The 20,745-nt window shown below is 36.9% G+C and overlaps 1 protein-coding gene across 4 annotated transcripts in view, besides 1 other annotated feature; it reads right to left on the bottom strand.

The window, feature by feature from the left end:
- SH3BGRL (SH3 domain binding glutamate rich protein like) overlaps positions 1 to 20,745 on the bottom strand; it is a 96,446-nt gene that overhangs the window by 29,605 nt on the left and 46,096 nt on the right. The gene's annotated exons all lie outside the window — the stretch shown is intronic.
- Positions 11,042 to 11,307: a silencer, noted in NCBI's record as "fragment chrX:80513135-80513400 (GRCh37/hg19 assembly coordinates)". NCBI's record gives its function as "represses an EF-1alpha promoter that drives an FKBP-Casp9 reporter gene in an ReSE screen in HepG2 liver carcinoma cells {active_cell/tissue: HepG2}" and the evidence as "EXISTENCE:reporter gene assay evidence [ECO:0000049][PMID:32094911]".

The raw sequence follows: 20,745 nt of genomic DNA, 5'->3' as shown, positions 1-20,745 counted from the left end.
AAGAAGAGCTAACTATCCTAAACATACATTCACTCAGTACAGGAGCAGCCAGATTCATAAAGCAAGTTCTTACAGACCTACAAAGAGACTTAGACTCCCACACAATAATAATGGAAGACTTTAACACCCCACTGTCAATATTAGACAGATCAATGAGACATAAAATTAACAAGGATATCCAGGACTTGAACTCAGCTCTGGACCAAGCAGACCTAATAGACATCTACAGACCTCTCTACCCCAAATCAATAGAATATACATTCTTCTCAGCACCACATCGCACTTATTCTAAAATTGACCACATAATTAGAAGTAAAACACTCCTCAGCAAATGTGTAAGAACAAAAATCACAACAAACTGCCTCTCAGACCACAGTGCAGTCAAATTAGAACTCAGGAGTAAGAATCTCACTAAACAGCACAACTACATGGAAACTGAACAACCTACTCCTGAATGACTAATGGGTAAATAATGAATGAAGGCAGAAATAAAGATGTTCTTTGAAACCAAGGAGAACAAAGATACAATGTACCGGAATCTCTGGGACACATTTAAAGCAGTGTGTAGAGGGAAATTTATAGCATTAAATGCCCACAAGAAAAAACAGGAAAGGTCTAAAATCGAAACCGTAAAATCACAATTAAAAGAACTAGAGAAGAAAGAGCAAACAAATTCAAAAGCTAGCAGAAGACAAGAAATAACTAAGATCAGAGCAGAACTGAAGGAGATAGAGACACAAAAAAAACCCTTCAAAAAAAAATTAGTGGATCCAGGAGCTGGTTTTTTGAAACAATCAACAAAATAGATAGACCCCTAGCAAGACTAATAAAGAAGAAAAGAGAGAAGAATCAAATAGATGCAATAAAAAAGGATGATGAGGATTTACCACCAATCCCACAGAAATACAAACTACCATCAGAGAATACTATAAACACCTCTACGAAAATAAACTAGAAAATCTAAAAGAAATGGACAAATTCTTGGACCCATACACCCTCCCAAGGCTAAACCAGAAAGAAGTTGAATCTCTGAATAGACCAGTAACAGGATCTGAAATTGAGGCAATAATTAATAGCCTAGCACCCAAAAAAAGTCCAGGACCAGACGGATTCACAGACAAATTCTACTCGAGGTACAAAGAGGAGCTTTATTGCATGCGTAGTTCCTTCTGAAACTATTCCAATCAACAGAAAAAGAGGAAATCCTACCTGACTCATTTTATGAGGCGAGCATCATCCTGACACCAAAGCAGGGCAGAGACACACACAAAAAAGAGAATTTTAGGCCAATATCCCTGATGAATATCGACGTGAAAATCCTCAATAAAATACTGGCAAACCGAATCCAGCAGCACATCAAAAAGCTTATCCACCACAATCAAGTCAGCTTCATCCCTGGGAGGCAAGGCTGGTTCAACACACAGAAATCAATAAACGTAATCCATCACATAAACAGAACCAACGACAAGAAGCACATGATTATCTCAATAGATGCAGAAAAGGCCTTTGACAAGATTCAACAGCCTTTCATGCTAAAAACTCTCAATAAACTAGGTATCAGTGAAACGTATCTCAACATAATAGGAGCTATTTAGGACAAACCCACAGCCGATGTCATACTGAATGGGCAATAACTGGAAGCATTCCCTTTGAAAACTGGCACAAGACAGGGATGCCTTTTCTCACCACTCCTATTCAACATAGTATTGGAAGTTCTGGCCAGGGCAATCAGGCAAGAGAAAGAAATAAAGGGTATTCAATTAGGAAAAGAGGAAGTCAAATTGTCTCTGTTTGCAGATGACATGATTGTATATTTAGAAAACCCCATCGTCTCAGCCCAAAATCTCCTTAAGCTGATAAGCAACTTCAGCAAAATCTCAGGATGCAAAGTCAATGTGCAAAAATCACAAGCATTCCTATACACCAATAACAGACAAACAGAGAGCCAAACCATGAGTGAACTCCCATTCACAATTGCTACTAATAGAATAAAATACCTAGGAATCCAACTTACAAGGGATGTGAAGGACCTCTTCAAGTAAATATACAAACCACTGCTCAAGGAAATAAGAGAGGACACAAACAAATCGAAAAACATTCCATGCTCATGGATAGGAAGAATCAATATCGTTAAAATGGCCTCACTGCCAAAAGCAATTTATAGATTCAATGCTATCCCCATCAAGCTACCACTGACTTTCTTCAAAGAATTGGGAAAAACTACTTTAAACTTCATATGAAACCAAAAAACAGCCCGCATAGCCAAGACAGTCCTGGGCAAGAAGAACAAATCTGAAGGCATCACACTATCTGACTTCAAACTTTACTACAAGGCTACAGTAACCAAAACAGAATGGTACTGGTACCAAGACAAATATATAGACCAATGGAACAGAACAGAGTCCTCAGAAATAACACCACACATCTACAACCATCTGATCTTCGATAAATCTGACACACGCAAGCAATGAGGAAAAGATTCCCTATTGAATAAATAGTGTTGGGAAAACACTATTTTTGCTAGCCATATGCAAAAATCTGAAACTGTACCCCTTCCTTACACTGTATACAAAAATCAACTCAAGATGGATCAAAGACTTAAATGTAAGACCTAGGACCATAAAAATCCTAGAAGAAAACCTGGGCAATACCATTCAGGACATAGGCATGGGCAAAGACTTCATGTCTAAAACACCAAAAGCAATGGCAACAAAAGCCAGAATTGATAAATGGGATCTAATTAAACTGAAGAGCTTCTGCACAGCAAAAGAAACTATCATCAGAGTGAACAGGCAACCTACAGAACGGGAGAAAATTTTTGCAATCTGTCCATCTGATAAAGGACTAATACCCAGAATCTTCAAATAACTTAAACAAATTTACAAGAAAAAAGCAAACAACTGCATCAAAAAAATGGGCAAAGGATATGAACAGACACATCTCAAAAGAAGACATTTATGCAGCCAACAAACACATGAAAAAATGTTCATCATCACTGGTCATTATAGAAATGCAAATCAAAACCACGAGATCGCCAGTTAGAATGGCGATCATTAAAAAGTCAGGAAACGACAGATGCTGGAGAGGTTGTGGAAAAATAGGAATGCTTTTACTCTGTTGGTGGGAGTGTAAATTAGTTCAACCATTGTGGAAAACAGTGTGGTGATTCCTTAAGGATCTAGAACTAGAAATACCATTTGACCCAGCCATCCCATTACTGGGCATATACCCAAAGAATTATAAATCATTCTACAATAAAGACACATGCACATGTATGTTTATTGCAGCACTATTCACATTAGCAAAGACTTGGAACCAACCAAATGTCCATCAATGATAGACTGGATTAAGAAAATGTGGCACATATATGCCATGGAATACTGTGCAGCCATAAAAAAGGATGAGTTCATGTCCTCTGCAGGGACATGGATGAAGCTGGAATCCATCATTCTCAGCAAACTATCACAAGATCAGAAAACCAAACACCGCATGTTCTCACTCATAAGCGGGAGTTGAACAATGAGAACACTTGGACACAGGGAGGGAAACATCACACACCGGGGCCTGTGGCGGGTGTGGGACTAGGGGAGGGATAACATTGGGAGAAATACCTAATGTAGGTGACCGGTTGATGGGTGCAGCAAATCACCATGGCACGTGTATACCTAACTGTAACAACACTGCACGTTCTGCACATGTAACCCAGAACTTAAAGTATCATTAAAAAAAAGAAAAAAAAAAAACTCTACTCTGTTTTCTTTTTTAGTTGCACTTCTACCACAATCATGCCTGCAGTACCTTTTCTAAAAACACGTTAAGGCTTACATAATTTCAAAAATAGAGTCTAGTGTGAAAAGTAAGCAGCTCCTTAAAGGATGTTTCTCAAAAACTGCTATGTCTTCAGGTGTTAACAGTAAAAAAAAAAAAAAAAAATACAGTCATTCCCAGTTTCTGGGTTAAAAGGGTTTTTCTTCTTGACTATGAAATCAGTTCTGAATAACTTTATCCACTTCTTTTTTATCTGGAATTACTATCTGTCTATACTTTTTTCTGGAGTCAGAAAGAACATTATTTAGTCATTTTCCCATTTCTTCAGAGATGGCTTCATGAGGCTGTGAAATAAGGAGCACTGAGAGTAACATCCTACCCTAAAGCCAATTCTACTCTCGGTGCCTGAAACTCTACCATTACTGATTCCCTACTTTAGTCTTCACAGAAAGGGCAGACAGTGAGCATATTTGAAGTAGAGGGAGGGACCACCTAGAGTGAATCAGGTAATGAAGACAGTGAAGTTTCTTTGTCTCAGAATTTTGCCTAGAGTTGCCCCTATATATATTCTAACAGAGGGTCACATAATAAAGGAATAGGAAAAGCCTCCCAAGATAACCCCAAAAGGAAATTTCCAAGCCTTACTATATGTTAGCAGCGAGATATGCACAGGATAAAATCGTTTACGGACAGAAGACTAACATTTGTTGAGTGCTTGTTAAGTGTTTTCTGAATATCAAACCCTTTTTGGGGTGGCTATCCATTTCACGGCAAAGGAAACAGGGGCTCAGAGATGTTAAGAAACCTGCTCAGTAAGACAGAGCTATTAATGGTCTTTAAATCAAATTACATGTCTAAATTTAGCTGACTACAAAGCCTTGTTTTTGTTTTGTTTTGTTTTTCATTACTTACAGTACACTACTTTCATGGGGGGGATATACTAGACATACTCCAAATTCAGCTGGAGACTGACATATGAGCGAGTTCCTTCTAAACTATGTAACTAAGTAAGACACCAAAGGTTGAGACATCTTATATTCTGTCCTAAATATCCCTTATGAGTGAACATGAATTCCTAGTTATTATAATCTCCTTTCTCTTGACCAGCCTTAACTGACTTCAACGAAGTCCTAACCCCCTATTATGTGGGCTTGCATGAACACAGGCAGTATGCACACAGGAGAACTGAGTAGAACACCACGAGGCCTCTGGTTTCTGGACCACACCGAGAACAATACAGCACATGCCTCCGCTTTGTCAAGAGTTCAGTTACCTAATAGTTTTGAGTGGGCAAAGTTAGTGTGGAAGATATAATTTCTGTACTTCAAATTTACAAAAAAAACAGACAAGAAAGTGCAAAGGCATCAGACCCTTTCTGTTCTTTTTATTTTTCTTATTACACACTGCACCCATCACTTTAAAAAAAAAATGCCCAACGAACTTTTTAAAGAGCAAAACGATCTAATTACAATGTATTTCTTTTGAAAGCAGAAACAAGCTTTGAGTCAGTAACAATAAAGGGACTAAAGTTCCTTCTGACTATGGAAAACAGCATGGACAGAGAAAAGTTCCAGACAAGAAAGGTCTGGATACATGAGATTATTCAGAAGTGATATTTCATTTAGTTAAGAAAGAGCCTTTTTAATCCAGAAAGTGGGCATGGCTGTACTTTCACCTCTTCAGGTGAAATCGTCCCCACATAGTCTTGTCTTATCAAACGTACATGCCAAGACAGTTGTTAGCTGATTAATATATGACAGACATAAATTTGGCCAAAGGCTGAAATTCAAAGAATTGAAACACATACAGTTACCCAACTGCTACTGAGGTTCCCTGTGGCCGGTTCCAACCCCTACCCTCTCTGACTGTTTAACTTTCAATGCCCTGCATAATGAGGCCCAGCTTCATCTGCCTCTGTAAAAGTATGCAGCCTCCTCTCTCCCAGATCAGATCAGGCTGCCTTTATTCTCCTCTGAACATGTCATGCCCAACACTCCAGTGCTTTTTCTCTCTTTGTTCCCTTCATCTGCAAGTCTCCCCTCTCTCCACTGATGCCATTCTAATCTATTCTTCCAGGTCTACTCTGTGAAGTTCTCTGTGGCCACTCCATCTGACCTCCTGCAGTTTTTACCACCCAGTTTGGAGCTTAATCAAAGAGTACCAATGTTTGCCAATCATTTCACATGTCAAAGTCACATCTCTTCAGTTAGTTGATAGGCTATCTGGAGGTAGGGACTATGCCTTTTGCTTTTGTCTCCCCATATAGTGCTCACCACAGGGCTGGACACAAAGTAGATACTAAAACTGATTGATCTCACAATTTTATTTTAAACTCAGCACCACCAAAATGTTTTTAGATTTTAATTATAATAAACTTTAATTCTGGAATGCAATTTACATTTACAGAAAATTTGCGAATATAGTAAAAAGTCTCCATATATCACTCACCCAGTTTCTGCTGTTGTTAACATCTTACCTCATAGTGGTACATCTGTCACAACTAAGAAGCCAACATTGGTATGATACTACTAACTAAACTCCAGCCTATTTGGATTTCATCAGCTTTTCTAATAATGTTCTCTTTCTGTTCCTTTCCAGGGTGTGTCAGTACACTTATTTGCCATGTCTCCTTAGTCTCCTCTGGGCTGTAAGAGTTTCTCAGACTTTTCTTATTTCCTGTGACCCTGACAGTTTTCAGGGGCCCTGGTTAAGTATTTCGTAGAATGTCCCTCAGGTCAAGTTTGTGTTATGCTTTTCTGATAATTATACTGGGGTTATGGATATTTGGGACAAATACCACAAAGAAGAAATGCCTTTCTCATCACATCATGTCATAGGGCATATTATAGCAACGGACTTATTGATGGTGATATTAACCTTGAATAACTGGTTATAGTAGTGTCTGCCAGAGTTCTGCACCTTTTATCCCTTTTCATCACTGTATATTTAGAATAAAGTCAATAAATCCAGCCCACACTCAAGTAGTCAAGGTGCTTTTATAAAAGCTCCTACTGCATAGTGGGACTCTGACCATACTTTCTAGAGTTTCTGGGAAGTTTGAGAAAAGTAAGGTGGCTGTAATCAGCAACCTATGATAGTTTATTAAAAAGTAATATACATCAGTCTTTGAGGCTGACTGGGCAGGATTTTTCATGGTTTGACTCTTATTTGGAAATATTTATTCAAAATAAATCTCCTGGATTAAACATCTCATGTACCAAATTAAATTGATGGGTTCTCCAAAATTGATTGGAGAAAACTCCATTTATTAGTGGTGTTTACTTATGTTTTTAGTCACTTTTTTGATGCCAGATATTCCTCCCACCCTTTAAGTACTAACGCCTGTGGAATGTACAATATGCCTACATGCATTCTTTTTACCTAGGATTTGAATACAGGGAGGCATTGTTCATAGTTACCGTTTGCACACAGATTCTTATCCATTCCCAACTAGCAAAGTACTTCCTTATTCTCCAAATCCTAGATGAAAGCTGATCAGAAGAAAGAGTCCTCAAAAATGCCCAGGGCCCTACAAAGTATCCTTCTAGCATATCCTATGGTAAAGAGATAGCATCTGCTTTACCAAAACACAAAAAGATTGGAGCACAAAATTTTTACAAGATTTAGAGCTCTGACCGCACATATGTTATGGGCTCCTCCATCACAGAGAGACACTTTAGGCTATCAGAAGGTGCTCTGTAATTATTTCCAAATTCAGGAGGATTTCAATTTGAGGCTGTGTTCTGAAAATACTGGAAGACAGATACTGTCTTCTTATAATTCATATCAATAAGAGCTACCATTTGTAGGTCAATTAAGTGATAATAGCTATAGCAGGCACTTTGCATATATTATTTCATTGAATAGTTATAGTAGCCCAGCAAGGTAGATATTATTATCTCCATTTTACAGACTAGAATACTGAGATTCAAAAAGGTTAAGTAAATTTATCCACAGTCACAAAGCAACTGGGTGTCAAGGCTGGAATTCAAACTTAGATATCCCTAACTCTAAATCTTAAGTTTGTTCCACTACTTTTCACTGTCTAGCCTCATGATATTTTATATGGCTTTTTTCTTAAGAGATTTTTATAGAAGGTCGACAATCTTTTACAACTAATATCACTTTTGATGTGTTCTTGCTAAATAATTTAAATTTAACTTCTACTTACCAGTCTGTGATTTTGCTTCCTTTTTTTATCCAAATGAGTATGTACACAATTTAATCAATTTCTACATCATTATAAACAAAATCAGTATAATACCCAATTTCAGCTCTAAGATCTTCTGCTTCTAGGGAAGGATCAGTGTTCGACTCCTGCCTAATAATGTTAGGAGCTATAGTTCAATCAAGATGATAGTCCCTGAGTACACATTGAGCCTAATGGCCACTGTTCTTACCCTGATGTAAGTAAAACTAAAATAAAGATAGTAGTTATGGTCTGAAGGAACTTTAATTATAATTATAAGGTCACAAATTCCATACTAGTAGATAATTTAATGATGGAATCTAACGAGCCCTTAATCAAAGTTTGGCCTCTTTCTGCTACAAGTAAGTGGGTATATTAGGGCTGGGCTCATAAGAAGAAACAGTGAGACACAGACCCCACTTTAGAGTGTGCTAGCAATGGGTTATGGAATTCTATATGTATTAAGTCTCTCTCTGTATTGCAGATATAATTGTATTGTAAAGTATAATACAATAATTATTATGTATTAAGTGCTTCCTATGGGCCAGGCACTGTGCTAAGCTCTTTACATGCTTATTTTATTTAATTCTAACAATAACCTTATGAGACAGCTGTTATTATTTTCATTCCAAATTCATAGATAAAGAGACAAATGCTCAGATGGATTAAGGAACATGCTCCAAGTTACACAGTTACCCATGCTCTGTCAGACCAAAAAGCACCATTTAAACACTAAGCCTACGAATAACAAAATCACGCACTACAATGTATGTTGTCTCATGCTAATTACACTGTCTGCCAACTTAATGAAGCCTCCTTGAGTGCAGATATGACTCATAATACTTTTGCATTATGCTTAATTCTAAAGTTTGGCCTAAGAAAAAACAAGAATACCTGTTGGTTATTTTGAGTATTTTGAAGGTTTTATACACCATAGGTTTTTTTAGGTAATCATTTTGTCCTTTCCCAGTCTGAGATTATGTGATAATGAAACAAAGAAACATGCCAGCAGCAATAAAAGCCTCCTGGATCTTTAAGATTTCGTAAGAAAAAGTTTCTGTGAAGAAGCAATGATTCATATGAATTACAATGACTTTACCAAAATAAAGTCCTATCTCCATTTGAAACTGTTTTCATGTATTTAGTCAAATAAAGTGTGAAGTTAAGAACATTCCACAACAGTGCTTCCATAACAGTGTCAGTGGCTTCTGACCATAGGTGGCTACAGAAAATGAGTAATAAAAGGGAAATAGAGGAACAAGTATTTTAGGTTGTTCTGAGGGCTTTGGGAGTAGGTGCCTTAAAGCAAAAGCCTTCCTTGAAACAAATCACACTGTCACAATCAAGTACCAAAACTAAATTTGTGACAAGTGCTAGCCTAGCATATGTTGACCTTCCATTTCAAAAATTTCTGACTAGAGTTACACTAAGATTTTGAAAGCAAACAAACCAGTTCATTCCAGCTTCCACTTCCCTGCCCTTATCACTACCATTACCAATTCGGTACAGTGAGTTTCTGCATAGATTTCAATTCTCTCTAGGGGAACTTTGTCAAGGGACAAGTTCAAGAATCTAGAGAATCAAGGGAATCTGACTAGTTATAAGGACCATTAAGAGCTATGAAATGATGATTATTTTATAGTCTGTAAGATGTTCTCCAACTCACCACCTTCTCTATGCAACAAAGACAATCCACATCCTAAAACCACACTTCCTACAAATGCTACAGTGCTTCTAATTTTGGTCAGACAGATCCTCCAGGCAGCCTTCCCATATAAGGATAAGCAAAAATACACAAACCTTCAAACAGGCTGATGTGAGGTCACAGGGCAGGCATATGCAAACCAAATTTGGTAGCTAAATTCTCCAGCTCACAACAGATACTTTTAAAAACAGACTGTAACTACAAACTCCAAACTATCAGTTCTTGAATCACAAGAAAAGTAATAATCAATTAATCTGTTCTTGTTAGTGTTAACTGGATGAAAACTATGAGCCAGTCTACTGTGTATAACATTAGCTTTTTTTCTTTTTACTTTTCTATTGCAGAAAACCCTACTGTAAAATGTGCTGCTAAAGTGGATACATACAATAGCAGAGTACTGCATCTAAATAGATAAATTAGTCCAATCTGTCCCTGTACACAAGGAAATACAGATTTCCCAAATGTCCTGTGAGAATAGCCTCTGATCTATTGTAGGAAAGGCACTGTCCTACACTGTGACCAGGAAAAATATCCATAGACATGACATCATTTGATATGAAGGGTAAGGCAGTATCCTGAGGGTATCCATGTCTTCCACTTGAACTCCAGGGTAGACTAAGACCCTTAGAAATGGCCCATGGCCATGAAGAGAAGATAATTCTCCCCACTTCTCTCAACCAAAACACCTTGATTTAGGACAGGTTAAGATATTGTCTTTCCAGTGATCACAGAGTTCCTAATAGCACTATCATATGCCTTGGAAATTTTGAAGGCTGTTAATTAAGTCAGTCAAATAAAATCAGAAATATTTTGATAGCATGCACCCAGAGCCATGGAAATGTTCATGTTATTTGATCCAGTAATTTCACTTCTGGATTCCTAGTTTAAGTAAATAATCCAAAAGACGGCAGAATTCTGAGTCTGAAGTAGTTATGTAACTGTGTTCTGTTGTTGTTGTTCATTTACTTGTTTTCAGCAGTGGAAGATTGAAAGTTGCCTGCATATCCAATCATTTGGATCTGATAAAATAAATGTTTGGTGGCATGGACAGTTGAAAGAATGTTGTGAGCACTCTGAAACTGACAGCTATACAATTCTTCAGCAACAGGAAAAAATGTTAATGATATCAAAATTGAGAAAGGAATTCTGGAGAATAATATATTTGCTCTGATTTCAGCAGTAAAAAGGAGAACTGTGTATATTTTTTAAAGACTAACAGGAAGTCAAACACCATCATTATGATGGCTTTGAGACAGCAGGCATGAGTACCTAGCACCTTGCTCAGGAGACTCATTGAACTGTGTTGGGATCATGAGATTATGGGGATTTTACCCCTAAACTTTTCTAATAGTGTTATATAGCTTTACAGAATTTTAAAAAATCAATTCATAGATGTTGAGCTCTTACTAGATGCAGCATGGTACAGTGGAACAATTACAGATTGTGGAACCTGTGACCCACTCTAATGTGGCCCCACCATGTTCCCCACCTCCTGGTGTTCACTCCCTTGTATGCTTCCCTCCCCTTGAGTGTGGGTAGGATCTGCTATTTGCTTCCAACCAATAGAATTTGGCAAAGGTGATAGGATGTCACTCTAATGATGATGTTATGTTATAAAATACTTTTTCTAGAAGACTCACACTAGGGTCTTTCTTTTTCTGGCTATGAAGAAGCAAAATGCCATGAGCACTACAGCCTCAAAGAAATGAATTTTGCCAACATTCATATGAGCTTGAAAATTGATTCTGCCATAGTGGAGCCATCAGATTGAGAAGTCAGTCCTTGCTGACACCTTGATTGTAGTCTTTTAGAGGAGAACTCAGCTAAGCTGTGCCAGGACTCCTGACCCATAGGCACTGTGATGTAATAAGTGTGTGTTGTTTCAAGCCACTAAATACTTAGTATTTGTTACACAGCATAGAAAACTAATACAGAACCTGACTGACTTGCATTTGAATCTCAAATCCTCCATTTATCTGTGTGACTGAGCAACTTGATTAACTTCTCTGAGTCTCAAATTCCTCATCTATTAGTTGAGAGTCATAATACCTACCTCTCAGAATCGTTGCACAGAAAATTATATATAACAGATGCAATGTGCCTATTGCACTGCCTGTCAAAAAATAAGCTAGATTGTTAATTATAAGCTCTCTCATGGCTGATCATGTTATCTAGTGCCTGCTATCATATCTGTGACCCATAGCGGGTATTCTATAAATATGTAGAGAATAAACAAATTAATAAATGATAATAAGTACTCAAGGATTGGTAGCTAGTATTTTAAATATACATAAGAAACTAGAGATATATAGAGTTGAGAGAAAATCCCTCCCCTCAAGCTATTAAAACTAATGAATGACAGAATAATGCATCAACCATAATATAGGAAAGTCTTCCTAGGGCAGTATAATAGTGAAGGTATGTAAATGAAGAACTGGACTTTGGGATCAAACATAAGAAAACTGTATCTGCACAATTCAATAAAATGTTTCTTAAGCTGCTGTCAATATCAATAGAAACAACAAATAGGGATGATAAAGTGTTTAAAGAAAGCAATATAGTTGCTAGGTAGCACGATCAGCCAAGTAGTTTACAATACGCTGGGCTGATGCCTAAGCATTAATGAAGCCTAATAACTTTCCTCACTCACATCATGGGGCTCTGAGAAACAAGATAGGCTACTTTGTATGCCCAGTAAATGTTTGAAGGATCACTGGGAAACTGTAAATTTCTCCCTGAGAAACTTAAGAAGACATAACAATTTATTGAATTACAGCAAAACTCCAAAAGTGTTCTGCTCAGAAAAAGGGCTGACCAAAGTAAGAAATTATATCTTGATAATGATCCATAAAAAGGAGCTTCTAAAGTAAGAGAATCTAATAAGAAAGTTGACTGGCAGTTAAATACTGTGGAGCAATATATTTCTGGAGCGCTAAGTCAATTCCCATCAAAGAACATCCTGCCAAATTGTAAAATTGCTCTTTTTCTTAGATTGGCACCTATTAAATTGTTTCAAATGCAAAAGCATTCTCTCTCTCAATGAATAGATAAATCTGAAGCAGTAGAAAACGTTCTGAAGTTAAATAAATCTGAACCTCAATCCCTATACTCAAAACCTACTCATGTACTTAGCTAGTGTTCACTGTGAAAATCCACCAACATTTGTTTCTGAAAAAGGGGGAAAACCAAAAACATTGTGAAATAATGAGGAGTAAGGAAGTTATTGACATAATCTCCGAAAGTCCCCCAAATCATTCTATGAAGAAGACTAATAATACCCATAGAAACACACATGAAAATTCTCAGAAATGCAACTCCTAATGATTCTAGGTTGAAATAAATGTACTTCTCCACTTCCCTTTATTTTTCCAATGGGAAAAAAAGCTATTTCTCCATAGGCCTTTCTGTATTTTCATCCCAGTAAAACGTCTCTTTGTTAGAACCAAATTTTCTCTCAATACAACAAAAATATTTTAAGGCAATGGCTTTTTTAAACTCAAAAGTGTTATTACAGTGGCAACCATAAATAACTGAACTATAAATAAAGTGAAAGAAGGGGAGCAAAACAGAAAATTATTCAGGGGTCTGACCTATTGCTAATGGCATCACTCTGACAGAATCGCAATCTAACACTCACTGTGAAGCAAGCCCTCAAATGCAGGAAAGAATCATAATCCTTTGGCAGATTGTTCAAATTCACTGAAATGGCACACAATGCCCCAATTCAACTTATATAAATTCATTTTATATATCCTTAATAATTATTATTCTATTAAATGTTTAACAGCAGAAGATAGCAAATCTTTGTACACATTATATAACTGGGTAATTTCCACAGAAAATTCTCTCAGAATTTTAGATCACAGGATCAGCTTTCAAAACAATGAAACCCTTGTCTAACTAAATAGCATGCTTTATTAACTTCATATAATGAGACAAATAGGCATGCCTTTATTTTTCACACACTGAAAAATTAAACATAGCCACCCATTTCAAAACTAACCTTCAGTTACAGTCTATTCAGGGTAAAAGAGTGTAAATGGCCTTCCACAAACATAGGATGATTGCAATTTTGCTTTTTAAAAGAATTTGTGGCTGGGTGTGGTGGCTCACGCCTGTAATCCCAGCACTTTGGGAGGCTGAGGGGGGCGGACCATGAGGTCAGGAGATTGAGAACCTCCTGGCCAACATGATAAAACCCCGTCTTTACTAAAAATACAAAAATTAGCCAGGTGTGGTGGCGCACGTCTGTAGTCCCAGCTACTGGGGAGGCTGAGGCAGGAGAATCGCTTGAACCCAGAGGCAAGGGTTGCAGTGAGCCGAGATCGTGCCACTGCACTCCAGCCTGGCAACAGAGCGAGACTCCATATCAAAAAAAAAAAAAAAAAACTTAAGAAAGAAGTTGTAAGAATCTCCACAAAGCAATGTATATTAATAAATGTTGCTTAACAATCTAAAATCTGTTTACATCAATGCCTCTTCAAGGCTGCACACTCAGTTGGTAAATAAGTCTTGATCAAGTTACTTTCACACACAAAAATACTGCATTTCCCTGGTCACCCTCTCTAGGCTGGTCTGGGAAAATAACTGTTAAACATCTGTCACTGATGGTGGGTCCACATGGTAATCATCATACCTGAAGGGCTCCCCATGACTAAAGAAAACACACACAACAAAAGCAAATACTACCTTTTCAGACTATGTTAGCTGTAGCACTGGGCTTTTTCCTCTATAGTTGGTAAAGTGATAAGATTTCATTACAAAAGAAATTAAACACTTTCCTTTCAAGGGAGCCTAGCAACTTAGATAATTGTTTACCCACCAAAACAAATTTATTTGCCATAGGAAGAAGAACTAGTCTGAAGCCACAGCGGTGTGCCCCAGATGAACATACCAGAAAGCACTAAGAATGTACTCTCAGACACAAGCCAAAAAAACATGGTCCAAACTGCCCAGCTGAGAACAACTGCCATATATTACCTAATTGGTTAAATAAGACCAGAATCAAATGATCCAAGAAGTTAACCAACTAGCAAACAAAAGGTGCTAAAATAAAAGGGGCTTGGGTCATATAATTCTATGGGCTCATTACTGAATTTCTGTGCAATTAATTGTTAGCATAGTTATTTGAACTATGACTATCAAGAACAACAGTATGTCCAGAAATAAGAACTACTGTCAAGAATGGTGGAGTCTGAGATTTTACCCTACTTGCAAACTAACTTGTAAGCCTAACACAGTTTTAAGGATGCTGGCAGATAACACGAGACCCCTGGGCCACAGATACAGCAGTAATCAGAGTATCAGCATTTTCTTTTACCTGCTTCCTGATCCTCAATTTCTACATGATGATACAGAGGGAAAGGATACATAATCTGAATCCTTTATACTGGACAGTAAGCAAATCTACCCTTTGCTCTGAAGGGAGACACTATATCTTTCAAGGATATTTGCATCTTTGAAAAGATAATACAGAACAAAAGCAGTCAGTGCCACTGCTCACAAGATGTGCAAAAAAGCAAGAAATCAATAAAAAATCGTATGCCAACATCTACCATTTACAAGTTATTTTGACTATTATAAAGTGTCCAGCTCTTGTCTTACAGATTTTTGAAAGGGAAGGTCATCTGAACATCAAATGTTGTGTTGAGTGATTAAAACCTGTAATTTCACCACCTGGTTGAACAGAAAATTGTGGGTGTTAAGTTGTATAACAATTCAATTAAAAATAGGAGTCATGGATGCTTGAAGAATCCATCAAGTGCCTGGCAAAGTGGCTCACGCTTGTAATTCCAGCACTTTGAGAGGCCAAGGTGAGAGGTTTGCTTGAGGCCAGGAAATTGAGGCTGCAGTGATCCATGACCATGCCACTGGGTAACAACCCAGGTAACAGAGCAAGACTATCTCAGAAAAATAAAAAAACAAACAAACAAACAGAAAAAAACAAAAATAATCCATCAAGCCAGACTGAACTCTTCCATCTCCAGGGATGATAATACAATTCCTTCATCACTCTCTTGTTAAGTGGGTTATTTATGTGTGAAATCAATTATTGTGATCCACATTACATCTTTACCTATTTTCACTCTAAAAGCAAATCTCCATATATTTACCAAAAGACGAAAAGTAAACCATGGCCTCATTTTAAAGTATAGACAAGCTGCAAAGCATTTATTCACTCTATGAACATGTTTTTGCCATAAGCATTTTGATCCTGATTCAGAGAATCACTTATTGACATAAATCTAATAGTATTCAAGTTGAAAAAAGAAAATAACATAGAATCCTTATTGAAAGTAAAGTGTATGAAAAAAGAACTCTAATGTCTTGTGTTATTACTCAAATGTTGTGTAAGCAGAACTGCTTTTTTCTCTTGTTTGTTTTAATTTTATCAATATTAGTAGTAAGTATAAATTACAGGAAATAAAATTGTAGAAATTCAAATACTCATTTTACCCACTGATTTTTAAAAATGCTGAACTGCTTACCAAAAATGTGGCTAAAACCTGTTTAAGATCCAGTGGGAAGCCATATACTAAAACAAGCTAGTCCAACCGGGGACCCAAGGGCCACATGTGGCCCAGGACGGCTTTGAATGTGGTCCAACACAAATTCATAAACTTTTTAAAAACACTATGAGATTTTTTTGGAATTTTTTTTTAGCTCATCAGATATCATTAGGGTTACTGTATTTTATGTGTGACCCAAGACAACTTTTTTTCCAATGCGGCCCAGGGACGCCAAAAGACTGAATACCCCTTTACTAAAAAGCGAAGTTCAGTTATAAGCCAGTTTCCATGGTGAGACAGTAAGATACATTTTCTCCATTAAAATGATGCATTCATATGCACAACTGGAATGATTTATTCTAAAGTATCTTAGATGATTTATTCTAAAGTATCACTTAGTGATCCAACAATAGATAATTTATTGAAATATATCTAATTTACCTGAGCATCTGACTAACTGGCAAACAGGTATAACTGACAGCAAACGGGTATTGGATTCTGCCCATTATAAACTCTCTAAAATTTAAAGAGGTTACTAATCATCTCTGCGCTTCAGTACATCTCAGGTATGTTTCAGGTATATCTCAGGAATGTTTCTTTGTTTATTGGTATAGATGCAGTTTCTGTAAACATTTATGGATATTTTAAAATATCTACATGATAAATACTTGTTAATGATTCTTCATCATAGAATACTGCAACTTTTTCACAATAGATTTGAAACAGACCAACACCTAAGTAACTATCTTTTTAGGGGAACAGAAAAAAAGCACTAAATATTCCCAGCCATCCAGAACATGTAGAATTCCATATAAATAATTCCATTTTTCTTGGTATAAAAACAAGTGGAAGTGTTAAGAAATAATTTGAAAAGATTACTGCTATGTAGCAATTTTAAAAATGATTAATGCTTTTTCCATATTCTTCAGTTCATGTTTCTATGAAATATCCTAGCAGTGGAAGCTACCCCCAATATCCTGTAGGTTAGTTCTGGTTCCACAGCCTCAGTTTTCAGGGAGCAAAAAAGTAGAAAATATTGTTTCTGTTTTAGAATGTTTAAAGTTTAGTGGGACATTAAAATTCAATTTGCTGTACTTCAGTGAAATATATGTGAGAATTATACATTTTAAATACTTATATCATATGCCAGACATGACACTAAGCACTGTGTCTCATTGTAATTAATGAGAAAACAGTTCTCAGAGCAGTTTAACTTTCTTGCCCAAGAGAACACAGCTAGAAAATGGTAGAACAGAGATTCAAACTAAACAGCACAATTTTAGAACCCATGATCTTTACCACCATATTATACAAGAGGAAATTAAAGAATTAAGTCATAAATAAAAAAAAAACAGTAATTTGTTAAACAATTAGGAAATTTTTCATCCTAAAAATTGAAAAGCGGAAGCGAGCTAGTCAAGCCAATGAAAAAAAAAGAGTGGCTTTAAACTAATAAACAGAAAACTATAGTATTAAAATATAAAATTCCTTTAACAGTTAAAAACATATTTTAAGCAGTTATTCTAATAAATATTTTTGTCTAATACATTTTCCAGCATTCAAGTCTAGAACTGAAATCCAAAATATATTTTAAATGATATTGCATAAAATCCATTAAAATACGAGTAATTTTCATAAAACGTCTCAGATTGCCCAATTTAGTTTATGATAATGATTAGAGAGCTGGGTGTCCTTTGACTTGTGAAAAGTCTTAGGAGGTTTCTTTAATTATGCAGTCTTCATTAAAAATCAGCAGGATTTTTTACAAATATCACAAATTTAAGATTAGAAGCTATGGTATAACTTAAAGCAGTATTTTTTTAACTCTCTACCTGATGGTGTATTTATGAATATATTTCATATCAGGTCACAAAATGAAGCTCTCTAGCTTTTCCATCCAACACGGGGACCAGGTATATTTGGATACATTCAATGACTGCCTAGTGCCTATTATCTACCAGTACAATTGAAGGAAAACGTGGCTCATGACTGTGAATAGTATTTGCTGAGAAAAAGAAAAACTTAAACTAAGGTCTAAATTCTGCATTTTTATTGCACCTATGGGTGCTTTATGAAGAACAAGAATTTGGCCTTGAAAGTTTGTTCCGAGGAGAAAAAAAATAGTTGAAGTTGGTAAACTTTATATAAATCAGGCTACTGTATATCAATGAAGGCATAATTTCATCAACTATACTTAATAATTTCTTTTAAATGTGGAGAAGGAAAAAGAAGAGGATGGAGTACAACACCAAACTTGGGTTATACCAAAGTATTATGCGTGAGACCAGGAAGGGAAATAATCACCTATCATTATAGCTAAGACTATTTTTTTCTTTCTATTTTTATTTTATTTTTTTTTTTTTTTGAGACGGAGTCTCGCTGTGTCGCCCAGGCTGGAATGCAGTGGCGAGATCTCGGATCTTGGCTCACTGCAACCTCTGCCTCCCGGGTTCAAGCGATTCTCCTGCCTCAGCCTCCCGAGTAGCTGGGACTACAGGCATGTGCCACCAGGCCCGGCTAATTTTTTGTATTTTTAGTAGAAACGGGGTTTCACCATGTTAGCCAGGATGGTCTTGATCTCCTGACCTCGTGATCCACCCACCTCGGCCTCCCAAAGTGCTGGGGCTACAGGTGTGAGCCACTGAACCTGGCCAGTTGAAACTATTTTTAAGAAAGAAAAAGCAAGTCCATAACTCCAGAACATGGAGACAAGATGCTGCTTAGTATACTGCATTAAAAAAAAAAAAGTTAAAACCTTCATTATATTAAAAATATTTTTTAAATTTATTTTAAATTATACACTGTGAAATTCACCTTTTTGTTGTGCATTTCTATGAATTTTAACAAATGCATAGCATCATGTAACTACCATACAGAACAGTTTAATTACTCCCCCCAAAATTCCTTTGTACTACCCCTTTATAGCACTAGTTTTTAAGATTAAAATTTCCATTCACCGATATTCTTCCTAACTACTTGCATAGTTACTTTCTGGTTTCTTTCGACCATTTTGTTGAATAAGAGTTTAGCTTTTTCACAAAAACACAAACGGATAACCGTCTGTATGTCAGGACAGCAAGTATTTATTAAGTACTCATTCTGGGCCCAGCAGTGTTCTGGGGACTACAAGAGAAGACAAAAATACTACATAAAAAGGGAAACCATAGGCATGTAAAACTTTGCAGACATAAAAGATATTCTGTAATGGAATGCTTAATTGCAAGGTTCACATTATAAAAGGGATGGTTAACAGGGTTCATGAGTCCCCTAGTAAAATGTGTATGTTATAAGCAATAAAATGGGACAAGGAAAACAGTGAGGAAAATTAGTATAATAGAAGTATGCAAGATAGGTTGAAAATAGACTGTAGTTAAGAAATTATTGTTTAATCTAGGTCTGAAAGAACAAGGGTCAAGTGGAAGTTATAAGTTGTAAAAATGCAGAGGAAATTTACTCTCTAAGAGACATTATTAAAATAACTAATGAGATTTACTGGTCCATTGGTTGGGAAAGATTAAGAATTAAGAATTATTCAATCAAGCACTCATTTAACAACTATTTATTGAGCTGAGACTTTTCTTGACACTTGTTCTAGGTGTCAGAGGAAGAGCAATAAAGATAGTTAAGATTTTTTGTTTTTTTTGTTTTGTTTTGTTTTGTTTTCCCAAGACAGCGTATTTGAGCATGCCTCAGGCACTTGGAAATAACAACATAGTGCATATAGATAAACTCTGTGAGCTTTAATTCAAGAAGGAAAATGGGAATCCACCAGAATTGTGAGGGACATCCCAGATCCTTGGGAGAAGAATGTCAGCAAAGCCCCTGTGATGGCATACAGCTGATAAAGGTGAGAAAAAATAAAAGTGATTAAAGTACATGAGAGAGGCAGAGAGCCTCTCCCTATGATTCATCTTTCCACTGGGGATCCAAGCAACCCAGGCCAATGGACAGCGCTTTCTTTCTCCCAACCCCTGGAGCTAACATGGGAAGAGGCTTGAAGACACTCTGAGGGAAAGACACCAGGAAAAGCTGCGGATATTTTCCCATACCCAAGGCTAAGAGCAGGATGCCATTTTTAATTTGGGTGCATAAAAGCCAGTCATGTTTTGGCAACCTGGTGGCACAACCACGCAGGCATTTTAGTCCCTTGCCAGAGATTGGAAATTCTGTTCTGGAGTTAGGTAGGGGGTCTCCACAGCCAAAACTGTGAAAAGTGCCTCAGCAGTAGGAACTGGAATTGTGCTCTGCCCTGTCACAAGCCTGGGTAGGGAAGAGAGCTGCTACAGCAGCTGTCTCTTCTGGACAATGAGACTTGCCACCAGGGCCAGCTTGTTGACCTGGAACTAGTCTGTGTGGGCCATTGCTGGGTGCCCCAGCCTGGTCCGCTGAAATCGTGGCACAGCAGGGTCCTCTACAAAGAGTCTCTCAGTAAACAAAAATCGAGTATATACCTAGCTGTATTGAGTGCAGCCAGCTCTTACCTGTAAGTGCCATCTACGGGCTTGTAGGTTTACCTGCATGGTACAATATAAAACCTGCTGAAAGACATACACTATCTAGATTAACAAAGACAA

The sequence above is a fragment of the Homo sapiens genome, chromosome X, assembly GCF_000001405.40.
Source record: "Homo sapiens chromosome X, GRCh38.p14 Primary Assembly".
NCBI classification, from domain to species: Eukaryota; Metazoa; Chordata; class Mammalia; order Primates; family Hominidae; genus Homo; species Homo sapiens.
Note: the sequence above shows the minus strand (reverse complement) of the source record. Positions and strands in the feature narration are given on the sequence as shown.